Source organism: Homo sapiens, chromosome 15 (genome assembly GCF_000001405.40).
Source record: "Homo sapiens chromosome 15, GRCh38.p14 Primary Assembly".
Lineage (NCBI taxonomy): Eukaryota > Metazoa > Chordata > Mammalia > Primates > Hominidae > Homo > Homo sapiens.
In genome coordinates, this window is record NC_000015.10 from 41016652 (window position 1) to 41034793 (window position 18142).

General features: G+C 42.1%; 1 protein-coding gene and 1 long non-coding RNA gene across 7 annotated transcripts in view, besides 2 other annotated features; one reads left to right on the top strand and one right to left on the bottom strand.

Annotated features, from left to right (window-relative positions):
- Positions 1 to 18142, bottom strand: part of INO80 (INO80 complex ATPase subunit) — a 137401-nt gene that overhangs the window by 37772 nt on the left and 81487 nt on the right. For all 6 annotated transcript variants that reach the window (NR_104038.2, XR_001751322.3, NM_017553.3 and 3 more), the window contains 2 exons: positions 10945 to 11085; positions 4249 to 4474 (listed from right to left, as the gene is read on the bottom strand). Coding sequence is in view for 4 of the 6 variants with exons in the window: in NM_017553.3 (NP_060023.1) it covers positions 4249 to 4474; positions 10945 to 11085 (367 nt within the window). In the remaining 2 variants the exon portion in view is untranslated. The remainder of the gene's footprint in view (positions 1 to 4248; positions 4475 to 10944; positions 11086 to 18142) is intronic.
- Positions 149 to 11240, top strand: INO80-AS1 (INO80 antisense RNA 1). The gene is made up of 5 exons (NR_170322.1): positions 149 to 184; positions 1851 to 1977; positions 2812 to 2911; positions 7836 to 7986; positions 10938 to 11240. It is a non-coding gene; the product is annotated as an INO80 antisense RNA 1 (long non-coding RNA).
- Positions 14859 to 15359: an enhancer, noted in NCBI's record as "OCT4-H3K4me1 hESC enhancer chr15:41323708-41324208 (GRCh37/hg19 assembly coordinates)". NCBI's record gives its function as "activates a minimal SCP1, AML or CMV promoter by ChIP-STARR-seq in naive H9 embryonic stem cells {active_cell/tissue: H9 hESC(naive)}" and the evidence as "EXISTENCE:reporter gene assay evidence [ECO:0000049][PMID:30033119]".
- Positions 15360 to 15860: an enhancer, noted in NCBI's record as "OCT4-H3K4me1 hESC enhancer chr15:41324209-41324709 (GRCh37/hg19 assembly coordinates)". NCBI's record gives its function as "activates a minimal SCP1, AML or CMV promoter by ChIP-STARR-seq in naive H9 embryonic stem cells {active_cell/tissue: H9 hESC(naive)}" and the evidence as "EXISTENCE:reporter gene assay evidence [ECO:0000049][PMID:30033119]".

The following is an 18142-nucleotide window of genomic DNA, read 5'->3' on the forward strand; positions in this document are numbered from 1 at the left end:
GCCTTTGGAGAAAAGTAAACAAAGAGATTTATAACCTCTCTCTTTTTTTTCCCTTTTTCAAGACAGGGTTCCACTCTGTCACCCAGGCTGGAATGCAGCAGCGCAATGACAGCTCATGGCAGCCTCGACCTCCTGGGCTCAAGTGATCCTCCCATCTCAGCCTCCTGAGTAGCTTGGACTACAAGTGAGCTATCACACCCAGTTAATTTTGTTTCTCTTTTTTTGTAGAAACAGGGTATTGCCATATTGCCTAGGCTGGTCTTGAACTCCTGGGCTCAAGGGATCCTCCCAGCTCAGCCTCCTAAAGTGCTGAGCCATGGTACCCAGCCCCCCTACCCTTTTTTTTTTTTAAACCCAAAACTAGCTCTCTTGGAGGACTGCAAATAGGTTGACTGGTAAATGTCGTTAACCCTAGTTGTATGTTAATTCAATAAAGAAAGCAGGGCTTTTCAGAAAGACTGACTTTGAGTTTCTCTGCAGTGAAGCTCCTCTCACTCACTAACTTGTGCTTTCTCTTTCCTCTTCTCACAAGAAAAGCATTTCAGCAACAGATCTTTAAAGAACACTTAACTCACAAATTTTCATCTTATCCAGTTAGTATCATTTAACTCCTATCATATTCAGGAAGTAGAGTTTCCTGTTTGCAGACTGGTCCATAAACATGCCCTGAACAATTGCTGTCATTAAGAGGGGAAGAGTTTAGGTTTAAGGGGTTGGGTAAGAGTATATGTGGAAGTGGCCATAGGACACAAAAAGGGAGAGAGAAAGAATGGAGATATTATATAGACAACTAACAACTAAAAGAAAAACACAATGTTCCTCCTCAGTTTCTGGGTTTGAACCTATGGCTTTTCTTCAGAACCACAGTCTGACCGTTGACAGCAATCCAAAAGTTCTCAACAGTCATTCTCTGTTCTTGCCACAATTTGCCAAATGCACAATTATTGTATACAAGGAACAAGAACGGATGTGCTGACAGCACCATAACAAATCATCAGCCACTCTGTTTTTGCTACAAAGCCACAGGTCCTGGCTGTTTACTCCCTCTGCACTGCAGCCTGCCATTTCCCACCTTCAGAATGCTGCCAGGCCATGTCTCCTTCCACCACCCGCTCCCTGAAGCTGTGGCACACACCTTTGTTCAGTCTCTTTGTTTGGTCCTGTTTAGATTATTGAAATGCTCTTCTTTTTGTTGGTCTCCTTACCAACACAATCAAATGACTGCAGCTGGGACAGAATTGACTGCTAAGCCCTCTCCCTGGCACCAGACAAGGAGTACTGTATAAATTCCAAGTCTGAGCAGGCAGCAAAGCTTTCATAACAACTTTTAAGGTTTTATTCTTACCACAATTACCCTTCTCCAGTAATTGAATTCCCTAAGGTCTCTCAATTTTGATAGCTCCTAAACATTCACCACAGAGCTACCAATCAGCTTTAGACATACTTCTTTCCGTTCTCATTAAAAGCACAAGGTGAAAAAAAAAAAGACCACATATTTTTCAGCCCTTGAGTGAGGGTGGGCAAGCTAAGTTCGTAAGATTTCTGTAGCCTGCTTATCTTCTTTCTCCATTTAGATATACTCTCTTAGCACAAATGTTAATGCATATAAAAATTTGTTTTATGTCTGAATTTTGAGAAACTTCAATTATTTCAAAATCATGATTCAATGGTTTTCAAACAGTCCTGCCTCCCACATCTACTTTACTTTGCTAATCAGAATGAACTGTTCCTAGGATTAGAAAAGCTCAGAAATAAAGATGTGCATATACTTATAAAGACAGAACTCTAACATGACTAAAGGAGGCAAGAAGTGGTACCTGCTGTCAGCTTGTTATCTTGTTATTGTGTAGGTGGGGAAGGGAGAAGTGGATGGACTGGACTTCTTTGTACTGCCCTGAAGGAAAATGACTAAGAAGAAACACTTCAGCAACAGCCTTAAAACACTTCAGCAAAATGAACACTATCTCTGATTTGCTGGTGAGCATGGAGAAAATCAGTCTCTAGTATTTGTCCTTAGTAAGATATGCAGGAAAAACAGGTTTCTTTCTCTGAACACACTAGAGTGACTTCTGGGGCTGGTATTTGTTAGCCAAGTTTTTAGCAGTCACTTAAGTTGCACTGGACAAGAGCTCCACCTGTCGCTAAGCAGGATACAGAGACACAAGGAACACACTTCTCTGGAAATCCAGCTGATTCTGCTAAGTCAAACCTGTGCCCAGACCCTTCTTTAAAACAGGAGCTTTCTGGATCATTGGGTGTTAAAAATAAATAAAATAAAACAGGAGCTTAAAAAATGTTTAAATGAACAAACCTATCCTACTCTCTTACAAACTTTCCTACAATCCTATAGTACTTTCATTAGACACAGGTTTTTACCATCCACGGTGTAAGATCCTGTTCAGAGATAAAAAGAATGTAGCCTATGGCAGTAAAATTAGGGCAAAAGATTAAATAATATCTCATTTTTCCAAGGAAAGGGGACTTTTGAAGGGATTGTACATCTTTCTGGTGAAACATGGAGAAGAAAAGGTGTGAAACCCAGAAGATTTTGGTCAGTCTCTCAAGGAATATGGAAGCAACCCTTCTCAGGGAAAGAGAAAACGTAAAAGTATAAAGGAAAGAGAGATGATAAAGGGTTCCAGTGAGACACCCCCAACCCCCGCCCTGTCCCAGCTAGTCTACAGAGCACAATGGGGTGAGGAGCTGGTTGGTTCTCACAGTAAACAGCCAGTGAGGCTGGTGCTTTTTATCGATGCAAAAAGAACTCAGACGCTTCCTGCTATTTAAACAAGGTCCATTTTTCTTTCAAAGAACAGGAAAAGCCACAAGAGATTCCCACAACGCCAGCAATAAGCCATCTACTCCTGTAATGGGAACTTAGGAGCCAGAACCAAGAAGGGAGAAAAAAGAAGTAAGGTGCTATCTTGCTTCTTTCAATAACGGTGCTCATCTCTTGCCTGGGATTCTGTAGTTTCCTTACCAGCTTGCTTTACACTTAGGTTCCCCCACTGATTTTCAAACAATATATTTCCACTCACTGCATGTGCTTTAAGTCAGCTACAAGGCCATGTGTAATACTGCCTTCAGATACGCAGAAAGACATCTTGGAGTTCTCAAAGCACTAACAGGCTGGGGCAAACCCCTTGACACTTGACAAAGTTAAAATAAAGTGGAAAAACCAGGCCTTACACACTGGAATCCAGTTATCTCTTAGAGACAGAAGAAGACCTCTGTTGAATGCTTAGCTCTAGTTTATTTCCATTACATGCCAGTAAAAGGGATATAGTTGGCCGGGCGCGGTGGCTCACGCCTGTAATCCCAGCACTTTGGGAGGCTGAGGCAGGCAGATCACGAGGTCAGGAGATCGAGACCATCCTGGCTAACATAGTGAAACCCCATGTCTACTAAAAATACAAAAAATTAGCCAGGCGTGGTGGTGGGCGCCTGTAGTCCCAGCTACTTGGAAGGCTGAGGCAGGAGAATGGCTTGAACCCAGGAGGCGGGGCTTGCAGTGAGCCGAGATCACGCCACTGCACTCCAGCCTGGGCAACAGAGCGGGACTCCATCTCAAAAAAAAAAGGAATGTAGTCAAAATGTCAGAGATTTTGGACAACCAAAACTAACACTATAGCTCCAAGCTACCATTCCAGTTTGCCTGCAGGTGTAAGCAAAGAACGTGAGCCTATGAATTATCTGTGTTCAGTTTCCTTAAAAGTAGTCTCACTAAGGCAAAGATGAAAACCTAGTTTCCTTTCAACCCCCGACTTTGACCCTAGGGGATCTGGGAATCTGCTAGTATTTTGGCATAGAATGCACTGTTTTTCCTCTTGTTATCATTCAGATCTCTAGTGCTTCATGTAGGACACTGTTTATGCTATTTAAATGAGGCTTTCTGTGAGTGACGACATTCTCATTCATTCCACTGGCAATGGCACAAGACAACCGTACTCATTCAACCTAGAGCCTTTCCTACTAAGTTTATTTCTACCTTTTTTTTTTTAAGAGTGGCATTTCTTTCTCAGCTGTAAGCATGTCAAAGGAGTGTATTTAAGCACAAATCTAAAAACATTTCTCTCTCCACTCATCATAAATTACTAATATTCTTACCTATGAATTACTAAGGCCAAAAAAGGAAGCAGAAACCTCAAGAACAGTAAATTCCAAATATCTGAAAGGACCACATGAAGATAACCCTGGTTCTCCCCTTGCCAAAGCGAGGAACACATTCCAAGAGGATTGAGAACTCACCTGGAATCCTGATGAAAGACCAGCCATTCTGAGGTCTGATGCTCCACAGACCTCCAGCTGGCTCTGGGAAGAACTGTGATCGTCTATTTAGCCAGTCTGCAGCCAGTTCAGGGGCCCCATTCAACAAACACTGCTTGGCTGCCAGACTCCCTCCTTCCTTCAGAACTCGCCTTTCATATTCTGCACTTCGGTCATTGCAGTAAGAATCCAATGGCACTGCGGTAACCTGCAGTTAAAGATTCACATGAGATGGCTCTTTCACGTTGTCCATACACACTATGCCTTTTGGGAACCTCAACTTTGAAATCAGACTAATGTGGATAGTTCTTAGACTAGTGGTTTTAAATATCTGTTCTGGCACACTAAGCTGTCCCTAATGAATGACTTAGTGAGCTTTTCCAGATAAAAAGCCAACCTCTTATAAAATGAAACCTGCAAACAAACTAAAGATCCAAAGAGAGCTGGAGTTTGCAGATAAATGAGAATACCAGGTCAGCAATAACTCTATTATATGCATATATATCTGATCATTTTGCCACCTCCCCTTCACTGCTAGATATTGTTCTTGGCAAAGTTCTCTTAACCATATGCATGATGGTGATGCCAGAAAGGGAGCTGCAGCTAGTCAGACTTCATTTAAAAACTAAAGAATATTGGCCTGGCATATTTGAAGTCATCTTTAATGCTTTTGTGGCAAAGCTCCCAAATTTATCAACAGCTTTCTCCTCTTCCCTGACCAGGTTGCTGACTGACAAACCTAATGGAAGAGAAACTTTCTTTCAGGCCATAAACTGGGGAAGGGGGAGTGCGGAGGCAGGGGAGGGTAGGGAAGCAATTGCCAGAGAGTAGCAGATTTGTTTCCTGGCTTGGCCAAAGGCTATACACAAATTCTTATCTCAATACAAGGTATAACCAAACAACACTCAGCTGCTGCTCACTCGATGGAGTAGAGGGCTCCTGCCAATTCAGAAACACAGATTTTATCCTTCTTTGGCTATCTGGGTTTATTCCTACTCTAATAGGCAGTATTCAGATACCTGTGAAGTCAACTGGTAAGGAACTTGAAGATGACAAGGCTAGCTTTTGTTAAAATGTGGAGGCTGTGATTATCTGTCAAGCCCACGCTGACAAATATGCTGAAAGCCCATTTCAGGTTGAATATCCCTAATCTGAAAATCTAAAACTTTGAGTGCCTACATGATGCACTAAGGAAATGCTCATTGGAGCATTTTGGGTTTGGGATTTTTGGATAAGAGATACTCAATCTGCATACGCAGAATTGCTCAGAAGAACCCTAAAGCTAGACTAAGACATGGGGAGAAACAGCGTATGAGAAGCAAAGGCCACAGCACAGGAGAGATCAGAACATAAAACACCGGCTGTATCTAGTTAGGTAGTTCTATCATTTCGTGGAAGTTAGGCACCAAGGGAACTTGATCTTGCTATTAACTTTTCTCCTTTTGTGTTGATCAAGCTTTAGGGAAATGGCTGTCAGGTTTTGGTACACATAAGGACCTCCTTTGAAGCGGACCAAAAGTGTAGATTTTGAACCAGAAGAACTGAGGGAGGGGCCAATAGACCTATGTTTTTGACAAGCACCCCAGCGTCCCAAGTTGAACCTTGAGAAATACTGCCTTGAGACATATGAACAGCTGACCATGGGCTGTAGGTGCCTCTGGAGGGTACCAACGTGACAGAAAGAGCATCATTTACCAATAACCAGAGAGTACTCTGGCTTGCAGATGAAGCTGAACTGAGTTTGCTAGGGAGCAGTGCCATCTATGGTCCAGATGCAAAACTACAGAGGGTCACAGCAAACTGGGCCTGGAGTTCCAAAACCAGTTCACAACAAAAATAGTTTATCCAAACAATACTAGAATCTCATATCACCTTTATCCTCTCCAAAAGGAACTTGTTTTCGGCTGAGCATGGTGGCTCACACCTGTAATCCCAGCACTTTGGAAGGCTGAGGTGGCAGATCGCCTAAGGTCAGGAGTTCAAGACTAGCCTGGCCAAGATGGCAAAACCCCATCTCTACAAAAAATACAAAAATTAGCCTGGCATGGTGGCGTTCACCTCTAATCCCAGATAGTTGGGAGGCTGAGGCACAAGAATGGCTTGAACCTAGGAGGCAGATGTTGCAATGAGCCAAGACTGTGCCACTGCACTCCAGCCTGGGCAACAGGGTGACAGACTGTCTCAAAAAAAAAAAAAAAAAAGTTAAAAAAAGAAGGAACTTGTTTTCTTGCTTCCAACTTATTCATTTTTCCCACTAATACATGAGCATGGGCAAATAAATATGGACCAAAAGAAAGCAAATAAATACAGGAATACAAAGCAGGTGGATGAAAATTGGGTCTCTCTCCCTTCTATGACTTGACATGGCAGTATCCCAGCAGATCGTGGGTCAGAGCAAACATCTCCCATGTAGGATGTGTGTCGCAGACCTGCAAAATTAATAGCAGCTATACTTCTATAAAAAGTTTAAAAAGTAAGTCTAGACTATAGAAATATGACCAGTTCTATATGTCTTGAACAGCATGCATACTCTTAGATAAGTAAAGCATATTTAGTCTTCTCTAGTAAGACTAAAGCGCGGTGGCTCACACCTGTAATCCCAGCAGTTTGGGAGGCCGAGGTGGGTGAATCACCTGAGGTCAGGAGTTCGAGACTGGCCTGGCCAACATGGTGAAACCCCGTCTCTACTAAAAATACAAAAATTAGCTGGGCATGGTGGTGCCTGCCTGTAATCTCTGCTACTCTGGAGGCTGAGGTGGGAGAATCACTTGAATCCAAGAGGTGGAGGTTACAGTGAGCTGAGATTGCACCACTGCACTCCAGCCTGGGTGACAGAGTGAGACTCTGTCTCAAAAAAAAAAAAAAACAAAACAAAACGAAAAAAAGAAACAAAAAAAAACAACAAAAAAACCTCATACAGACCAATTTTTATACTCACAGATAACCGTTTTGATTTAAAAATTTTTATTTATTTATTTATTTTGTAAAAAAGCAGAACTTATATTGGAATTATACATAAAGACTCTGGGCTCATAGTCTCGAGATGAAAAGCCAAAAGCTAGAATCTCAGCATGAAAGAACAGAGAAACAGGAAAAATGGTTTTTCTGCCTGGGATTCATTTCTAGGCACTCTTATAGTTTAAAAACAAAACAACTTTTTCCAGTTATAAACTTTCATCTATTTTTCAATTTTCATTTTGATGATACCCTTCCAGGTCTAGGATTGAATGCTTAAGAGGTTTGCAAGACACTGTTCTTAGTGAAATATTTTTCAGTGTTTTGAGAGGCTTCTTTGGCCAGGAGCCCAGGATCAAGATATTAATATATTCAGAATCATACAATGTCATGTTGTAAGTATGTAAGCAATGTACTTATGAGGTCCAAAAGAGGGCAAAAATGTCCAATATACTTAGAGTAAATCCTGCTTTCTAAGTCAGCTGTATCCCAGACAGCCTCCCCCTATTCTGCTAACCCCAAGTGACCTCCCGATTTGATCAGAAGGAGAGATGAAGCATGACGTACCGTTCTTCCCTCCCCACAAAAAATGCATACTCTCCCTCGTCCTACAGGAGCTAACCCCTTTCTTGCTTCATTAACCTCTGAAACTACAGTACCTTCAGGGGCTGCCCCCTTAAGCGTTCAGCGCGTCCTTCCTGAGGACACGTATGTTCCTGCTCTAGCTGAAGGAAGCGTAACCGCTCCAAGCGCTGCAGTATTTTGGTAAGAATAATTCCTAAGGCCTTAATTTATTAACCCTGCAGAATTATTTCCTCAGCTAATGATAAAACAGCTCCTATAATTCCTTCCATAGTGGCACAGTTCTTCCTGAACTAACCCTCAAGTTTTCATAGCATGTGTCAGAGAAATTAATTTGCCTAATTCAAGGCCAGGGTTGGCTTCAAAGGACATCAGTTTCTCTCTCCCCAATACAGATGGGTTAGAAGTCAATATAAGATATAATTAGGGTATCTCATGAAATTTTGCCTTATTCACTGATCTGAATCCCTAGGACTGATCTGAAAGGTAAAAGTTGTAGATCTGTGTATGAAATAGAGATATCTAAACTCTTCTTCCTGTCCTCCTAATAATCACGGTGTAATTACTCCCATTTTCAGGTTTAGCACATACTATGTAAAGAAACTCTACAAACATGGGAGGGGCCAAGTGGGAAAGGAGCACCCTTTCAGCCAAACGATAAAAGCTTTCTCCTGCTCCCTGCTTGCCAACACATGTTCACAGCAATTAGAGTTTTCCTCAAGCTACATTTACTTTTCTTGAGAGAAACAGCAGCAGCAGGCATGGTAGCTGGGATTTCTGGCTCCTCTAAAAACAATACTGAAGTAGTATAGATGGGGCATGCATGTGTGAGAGAGTGGGACTGTTCTTGAGAGTGGTGGGTTATAGATATTTGGGGAGCTCCAAGTGGTAAAAAATGAAGAACTTTCAGGTCAACAAATAAATACAATTACAGGCCAAGAGAGCTCATCTTTATTGGCTCTTTAAACACTGGGAACAGGCTGGGCACAGTGGCTCAGGCCTGTAATCCCAGCACTTTGGGAGGCTTAGGCAGGAGGATCACATGAGGTTAGGAGTTCGAGCCCAGCCTGGCTAACATGGTGAAACCCTGTCTCTACTAAAAATACAAAAATGAGCTGGGCGTGATGGCATGCACCTGTAATCCCAGCTACCTGGGGGGCTGAGGCACGATAATTGCTTGAACCTGGGAGGCGAAGGCTGCATTCAACCAAGGTTGTGTCACTGCACTCCAGCCTGGGTGAGAGAGCAAGGCTCCATCTCAAAAACAAAAACAAAAAACCCCAACAACCAAAAAACAAAACACTGGGAACAGGAGAAGTTAAAAAGACTTGATGTGCCTCTCTCAGAAATCTAAACTTCCTTTTATTAGGTCTCTTGGTATACACCTATCATACTAAGAGAACAAAACCAACCACACAACCATGAAAGACTGAAGCCTGCCTTCTATGGAAGCTCTTGGCTTTAAATGCTTCCTAGAAAAAGTGCATTTCCCTGCACTAACTTAAGCTTCTGAGACCAAGAATACTTTGGAAGAACAGGATATGTACAAAATCCAAATACTTTCTGGATAGCCAGTATAAACCAAACAAAGTTGATAGTGACAAGGGAATTAAACTCATATAGCACAGGAGCAGCAGACAGAAATCTAGGCAGGCAGGAGTCAACAGGATTCATCATCTTTCTAGGGGTCCCCTGTCAGATTCTGTCTTTTGATAAACTGAATAAAGAACGCAAGCTGATAAAAAATAATGGTAGAAAAATATTAACAAGGGAGACAGAAAAGGCTCCTTCTTCTTTTAATAGAACTGTGAAAACAGGCTGGGCACGGTGGCTCACATCTGTGATCCCAGCACTTTGGGAGGCCAAGACAGGTAGATAGCTTGAACTCAGGAGTTGGAGAATAGCCTGGGCGACATGACAAAACCTCGTCTTTACAAAAAATTTAAAAAGTAGCCAGGAGCGGTGGTGCGCACCTGTAGTCCCAGCTACTTGGGAGGCTGAGGTGGGAGGATCACTTGAGCCCAGGAGGTTGAGGTTGCAGTGAGCTGAAATAATGCCACTGCACTCCAGGCTGGGTAACAGAGTGAAACCCTGTCTCAAAAGCATTAAAAAAAACAAAAACAAAAAAAACCAACAAACCTGTAAAAACAGTACACTTGCTAAGATGAGTGGAGAAACAAGAGAAAAACATAAAAGGGTAAGAAATGTCAACCTCTTAGAGCTTCCTGGCTAACGGAAAGTTGCCTCTTGGAGCAAAAAGAAATGAACTGGGAAGACAGAAATTCATTCTTGGCTCTAACCACAGAACCTGGCCACAGTTCGATTATTTCCCTTCTTGGTAGATCTTTTCTCTGGCTCTGATCAACATGGATAAAAAAGAGGATGGAAGATGTAGGCAAAGTAAATAACCCCAGTGTGCCAATTAAAGCCTTTCCAGCAATGCTTGTCAGCAATGGCAAGAGGGCTCTATTTTGATAAACAGGGTATTAGGAAGGATGCAGACAACTGCTAAAGTTGAAACCACAATAGAAACTAAGCCCAATCTGCAAACAACAGTGGACAAATGGTGAATAGCAAAGAAGATACAACAGTCACTTTTCAGATGGAACAGACATGTGAATGACAGTCCAAGTGAGGCTGCTTTGGAAAGCAAGAAAACACAACACTGAGAAGGTTCTTGATGCTGGAGTGTTATGTTTCCTTTTGTTATCTGGAGACTGTACTGAGGTGATATGACCGGATCAAATCTCCCCCAATCCTTACCAATCTGACGCCCTCTCATGAAAACCCTCAAAACCTCAACACAGGTGACAAATGGTTCCCTCGCCCCGACCCTGCTATTGGGTGATATATATTCTACCTGACAGATGGTTTATTCCCACTATAGTTTAGAGCCCCTGACTAAATAAAAAGAAGCTATCGACCATACAACTATTCTTAAATCAACAAATGAAGGTGAATATAAGTGTTGTCTGGGGCAGGCCAGAATCACAAATGCCCACATTTTAAAATACTAGAATTTATATGTTTCTTAAAGTCCAAATAGTTTAAAACAATTCTGTTTAAGAAATAAATCCCTTAAAAATTGGTTTATTTCTCCTATTGCCATCTATTTCATCTCTTCCCTCCTGGAGCACTTACTCGTGGACTGGCCACACACAAAAAAGATGGCAGCTCAGTGAGCAGGCAGCGACGCAGCGAGGAGGTAGCTGATCTCCGCTGATGGACAACCTGGTCTGAGTAGCCACTCACTGCTTTACAGTGGCTGCTGAAAACAAGAGACTGCAAAATAAAAATGCAAATGAATGCCAACTATAATTATGTTTAATGTAAGCAAAATGAAAAAAAAAGCCACATATTAAACATCTAACTTTAAGAGCTTTCTTCCCTGTAAATACTATTAATTCTAATAAACAACCACTAATTAGAACCAAGTATATAATACAGTTGAAGCCCATGTTAATTTCAAAATGTGGTTTTATTAATATACCTTAAACAACTGTCATTTATAATTCTACCTTTTTCTGGAAGAGATATTGTTAATCAAAAACAGGCACAGCAAAACTTCATTAGACAAATCACTTGTATGGGAATGTCAGGGGAAGTTTGGTTCATCTGTTGCACTGTGGATGCAAACTCATGTCTTGTGTTGAAAACAATGATGACCAACACAATTTCCTTCTAAATTTTTTTTTTTTTGAGACACAGTCTTGCTCTGTCACCTAGGCTAGAGTACAGTGGCATGACCTCAGCTCACTGCAACCTCCACCTCCCAGATTCAAGCTATTCTCATGCCTCATCCTCCCGAGTAGTTGCGACTACAGGCGTGCACCACCACACCTGGCAAATTGTTGCATTTTTGGTAGAGACAGGGTTTCACCATGTTGGCCAGGCTGGTCTCGAACTCCTGACCTCAGGTGATCCGCCTGCCTTGGCCTCCCAAAGTGCTGGGATTACAGGCATGAGCCACTGCACCTGGCAATTTCCTTCTAAATTTTTCTTTAAGGCAGTTTAGCACCATTTGTTTTCTTATTAATTTATTCAGAGTAATCAATACAAGGGGTCAGTAACAGGAAATTCTATCTCTTTAGTGCCTCTGACAACCATTTAAAATATATTTATTGTTCACTTATGTTGCCGTATCAAAAATGTATTTTAGGCCGGGATCACCTTTAGGTGATCACCTGAGGTCAGGGGTTTGAGACTAGCCTGGCCAACATGGCGAAACTCTGTCTCTACTAAAAATACAGAAATTAGCCAGCATGGTGGCGGATGCCTGTAATCCCAGCTACTCAGGAGGCTGAGGCAGGGGAATCGTTTGAACCCAGGAGGCGGAGGTTGCAGTGAGCTGAGATCGCACCATTGCACTCCAGCTGGGTGAAAGAGTGAAATTCCGTCCCAAAAAAAAAAAGTATTTTAACAGACTTCATAACTCATGTTACAGCTTCAGGTCACAGCCAGTCATATGAAAGATTTTAAGTATGAAATGTTCACATACAAATCACTCCTCAGTGGGACATGGTGTTCTATATAAGAAATGCAGAAGTTCCTTCCTCAGTATGTTATTCGTTTTATCTTTGGATCTGCATTCTTATTTGTTTTACTGATATCTCAATAAGGCAGGTTGATGACCAAAATAACCATGTAGATGAAGATAACATACAAGGCAGTCTAATTTATACATTGTTGTAAGGTCAAGAATACAAACTGCAAGATCAGAACAGCAACCTGGATCCTCTGTAAGAGAATAATAGTTATAATACCAGTACCAAATCACTCTGAGGATAATTTGTTCAGCTCATATCCTGCTCTTCCACTTATACAGCTTTATTTTCCACAGGGCTTACATCTCTGTAAGGAAATGGGTTCTTAAGGCTCATAGTTTGAAAGCAGTGATCTCAAGTTGTCTAGTACGACATATGCACTGTTATCTGTTTCCCTGAACCAATCAGCATCTTCTAAATAACTGTCATCAACAATTTGAAGACTATAGCTATTTTCCAGGATAGCTGGGCTGTCTTTAGGTGGTTTCTGACTACAGACTACAGAAGTGTTTACAACATTTGATATACTGCTAGGCCCATGTAGCTATGATATGTTTGGCCTTTTCTCTAAATGTTGAGGTCCCTGTCATTACCCAAAGAAGAATTTTAACATTCTGACAGCTTTTCAATAACATCTGTGTTCCCATCTTGATTTTGGGTAGCATCTCCGTTGAAGTTCATTATCTCTCTACATGTTTATGCCCATTATCACTTGAATGTCTAACATGAGTATCGTTACAAAGATTAGCAGGCTAGGTGTCAGACTGTTCTTCCAATACTGAATAATTAGGAGGAAAAAGGTAAAAAGATGTAGCCACGTTTTTTGTTTGTTTCCTGAAAGTGCATTTCTGACATCAGCAGTAGCCCATCTTGCTCCCTCACTGGGGAGGAGAGATGACAAGTCTAGCAACTTCTGCTCATCACCGCCAGCTAAGTAGTAGTTCAGGGCTGCCAGCTGGGACATCCACTGTCAATCAGACCATTCCTGGGCAGATGGCTGAGGCAGCAGCAGTAGCTGACCTGAAGACTTCTGAATTCTTACTAACTTCTACAGACCAGTCACTAAATAATGTCTCTATCAGGTATCGCATTAATTCATCTTCATTTTGAGTATTCTAAAATTCAAAATTCAACAGAAACCTGTTTCTTACTTTGTTCCAATAATATAAAGGTAGAAAATAAAAGAATGAACATTTCCTCCAATTATCTTCTCTTCAGCACTGTAGTTATTACTAAGAAAAGAATACAACTCACCATAGGGAGTTCTTTTAACAAAGCACATTATTTGTTATTACCTTTCTGGAAAAAGTCTGACTAGCAATAATTCTATTCCCAGGGGTGGTCATTCCCAAATTAGAACACATTCATTTATTTTTATTTTTGGGACAGAGTCTTTCTCTGTCACCCAGGCTGGAGTGCAGTGGTGCGATCTCGGCTCACTGTAACCTCTGCCTTCCCAGGTTCAAGCGATTCTCCCACCTCAGCCTCCTGAGTAGGTGGGCCTACAGGTGCGCACCACCACGCCTTTAATTTTTGTATTTTTAGTAGTGATGGGGTTTCACCATGTTGGCCAGGCTGGTCTTGAACTCCTGGCCACAAGTGATCCCCTCTCCTCAGCCTCCCAAAGTGCTGGGATTATAGGCATGAGCCACCACACCTGGCCAACATTCACTTATTTTATTTTATTTCTTTTGGAGACAGAGTCTCACTCTGTAGCCCAGGCTGGAGTACAGTGGTGTGATCTTATCTCACTGCAGCCTCTGCCTCCAGGGTTCAAGCAATTCTCCTGCCTCAGCCTCCCGAGTAGCTGGGATTACAGGTGTGCGCCACACCTGGCTAATTTTTGTATTTTCAGTAGAGATGGGGTTTCACCATATTGGCCCGGCTGGTCTCAAACTCCTGACCTCATGATCCGTCCACCTTGGCCTCCCAAAGTGCTGGGATTACAGGCGTGAGCCACTGTGCCTGGCTCATTCACTTATTTTTTATGAGCTGGGTTAAAATAGTATTCTCATTGAAGTTGCTAAGTCAAGGTGATGTATAGCTTTCTGATTCCAGGTTTTAAAAAATAATAACTATGTTCAAAATGCTCAACATATAGCCTCAACTTTAGAGAAACCCTGACTACCCCTAGAATGTTTTACCCAATATATACTTTTCTAGATTCTTTTCTCTTAACATTAGTTCCATCAAATCTGGTTTAGTATATGTGAACCTTGGTACCACCACACTATCCAATTTCCCTTCATGTAGCAACATGAACTGCTAGACATTGCTAGATATAGAAAAATGTATGCCTGACATGGAAGAATACAAAGAATACCTTAAGCAATATTGTAGATAGAAAAGAAAGTTTGTTCATTACTTCTTTAGTCTAACTTGGTCATGAAAGAAAGAAAGAAGAAAAGTGAAAGAGAAGGGAAGAGGGAGAAAGAAAGAAGGAAAGGAGGGGAAGGAAAAGAGAGGGAAGGAGGGAGAGAAGGAGAGAGGGAGGGGAGGAAGGAGAAGGAAGGAAGGGGAAGGGAGGAAGGAGAAGGGAGGAAGGGAGGAGGGAGGAAGGGAGGAAGGGAGGAAGGGAGGAAGGGAGGAAGGGAGGGAGGGAGGGAGGAAGGGAGGAGGGAGGAAGGGAGGAAGGGAGGAAGGGAGGAAGGGAGGGAGAATGCCATACTATGGGGAATTTGACCTGGTTTTCACGTGGTCACAGCTTTTGCTATTCTTCTGTCCCTTTCTCATGCTCTTGAATGTCTCATTACCCCGGAAGCACTGGCAGATGTGTGCGTCTTGCCGCCAGGACTATAATATGCACACAGTAGTGAAGTCAGCCTTTTCTAAAGACTCTTTTCGCACCATACAAAAGTCTCAAGTGAAAATAAATAGGCCAGGATGACAGGCTCCATAGCTGCATACTCCTTGCCACAGCACAGCACAGCACAGCACAGCACAGCACAGCACAGCACAGCACAGGACAGCACAGCACAGCACAGCACAGCACAGCACAGGACAGCACAGCACAGCACAGCACAGCACAGCACAGCACAGCACAGCACAGCACAGCACAGCACAGGACAGCACAGGACAGCACAGCACAGCACAGCACAGCACAGCACAGCACAGCACAGAAAACACACCGATGTTTTTCCCTCAGACCTAGACTTACTCATTTAATAAGAGGTCATGCTTTGTACTACATGTTTTATTTAAAATTAAAAATGCTTATGTTAAAAATTTAGGTCTCCAGTACTCAAAATTAGCTTTCTACATCTTTTCTTAAAGAGCATGTCAAATTTAGATACAGAGGAAAAAGTTTCACTTTAAATGAAACAGCACAGTGTTGATAAATCAGCTCTTAGATTATACGGATTATATTTCCATGGATATTTTAAGCATCCAAACAAAAAGAGGGAAAATTAATGCAGAGAAACACAATAGTTTCCCAGAGCTTTCCATAAGGGGCATTTGCAGCACTCACGATCTCAGGAAATGATGATATAGATACAGGTACTGTAGCTGAAAACTAACATTTAGTGGAAGAGTTTTTGAAAACTTCCTGTTTGGGGGGTGAAATCTTCAATCAATAGCCCGTCAAAAAACTCTAAGGATTTAATACAGAATAGTGTTTAAAACTTCAACATATGCCACTCTCTTCAAAACAACTCTATGTTTAGAACCTTTGTGTATTTTAAATTGCAAAATCTGAAATGCCCCCGATTTTTAGGAGTCACTTGACTCACTAGAACTGTAGAGTATATAAAATGTTCAGGCCAGGCGTGGTAGCTCATGCCTGTAATCCCAGCACTCTGGGCGGCTGAGGAGGGCGGATCACGAGGTCAGGAGTTCGAAACCAGCCTGGCCAACATAATGAAACCCCGTCTCTACTACAAACACAAAAATTAGCCAGGGGTGGTGGCATGCGCCTATAGTCCCAGCTACTCAGGAGGCTGAGGCAGGAGAATCACTTGAACCCGGGAGGCGGAGGTTGCAGTGAGCCAAGACCACACCATTGCACTCCAGCCTGGGTGACAGAGACTCCGTCTCAACAACAACAACAAAAAAACAAACAAAAAAAACTTTCAGCACGTACTATGCATAAGTAGACCATTACCATGACAACAGTTTCAATGAGACAGACAGGAGACAGAATCAATACTGGTACTGTACTCTGTGTCTGCCAACCATCATTTTTAATTTTTAACATGACATTTAATTGGAATAGACTCAAATCTGTTCTGCCCCAAGAAAGATAACTAAATGGCATATTTACGACAGGCTCTCTTTTTTGTCTTTATTCTTCTAAGCAAAATAAAATTTTATTTTTCTATCTCTGCTGCCTGAATCAGAATTTTTTTTTTTTTTTTTTGGAGACACAATCTCGTTACCCAGGCTGGGGTGCAGTAGTGTGATCATAGCTCACTGTAATCTCAAACTCCTGGACTCAAGGGATCCTCCCACCTCAGCCTCCTTGAGTAGAGAGACAGAGTGAGACCCTGTCTCAAAACAAACAAACAAACAAAATCACACTCTTTATCCACTGCAAAACAGTGTAAGAAAATAACTCTGGCCAGAGGTACCACAGTGTGCAGGGAAGGTGTGCGAAAGTTCTGACCCAAATCTACTCATTCCTGAAATTCTTAATAGCAATGCAGGGTAGAACACAAGAAAATTAAGTAGAATACAGGGAGCCATGCTAGTTTTTGTTCTACAAACATAAGAGAAGGAAATCTCTGAAAAGTATTCACATCAATTAAGAGATTTTTTAAAAACCCCAAACTTAGGCCAGGCGCAGTGGCTCACGCCTGTAATCCCAGTACTCTGGGAGGCCAAGGCGGGAGGATCACGAGGTCAGGAGATCAAGACCATCCTGGCTAACGCTAGAGTAGAAACCCTATCTCTACTAAAAAAAAAAATACAAAAAAATTAGCCGGGCGTGGTGGCAGGCGCCTGTAGTCCCAGCTTCTCGGGAGGCTGAGGCAGGAGAATGGCGTGAACCTGGGAGGCAGAGCTTGCAGTGAGCTGAGATGGTGCCACTGCACTCCAGTCTTGGTGACAGAGCGAGACTCTGTCTCAAAAAACAAACAAAAAAACCCAAAACTTTATCCAAAACACCTCTAAGTATCAACCGATCTGTGTCCTTAGCCTAGTTCTTAGCTTCTTGATGTTTATGTGTATCATCCTGAAGCTAATAATACAAGAATGGTACTTCTTTGGATTCTGTAACAAAAAATTCATATTTTATCTTCACCATAGGGTGGGTGAGTGCAAGGGTTTTATAGGCACATTATGGGGTTGGGGGAGGTAAGGAGAAGAGAGCTTCTCACTGTTTGGATTCATTCCTTTCCCTGGGGAGTAAGAGAAGAAGGGGAGGACTGGGTTAGACTGCTGAATATGGCTCAGGTAGTATGTGACCTCACACAGCTTACCAAGACCAATATGACAACATGTAGCTAAGTGAACACTGATCTGTCTCCACAGAGGAAGAAAAACAAAGTCTTTACCTTGATCTGATGATAGGAAGTTATATTTAGGAGACAGGCTACAGGAACAATAACTCTCTTTATACAACAAATGAAGGCGTAGAAGGAAACAGAATGAAAAATTTTCTGCCTTAAGATGACAAAGCTGAATATGGGGAAATTAACTCAAAACTAACTTGTTAGCTCCAAAGGAGCTTTAGTCTAAAATATTATTTGAATTTCGTAAGAAAAAGAATGATGAGACCCCTTCCAACTTTTACATTTCCCCATGTCTCTTCTCAGGTTTGTTGGCCGAAGAATAACCCCAAACTTTTTAAGACTGAT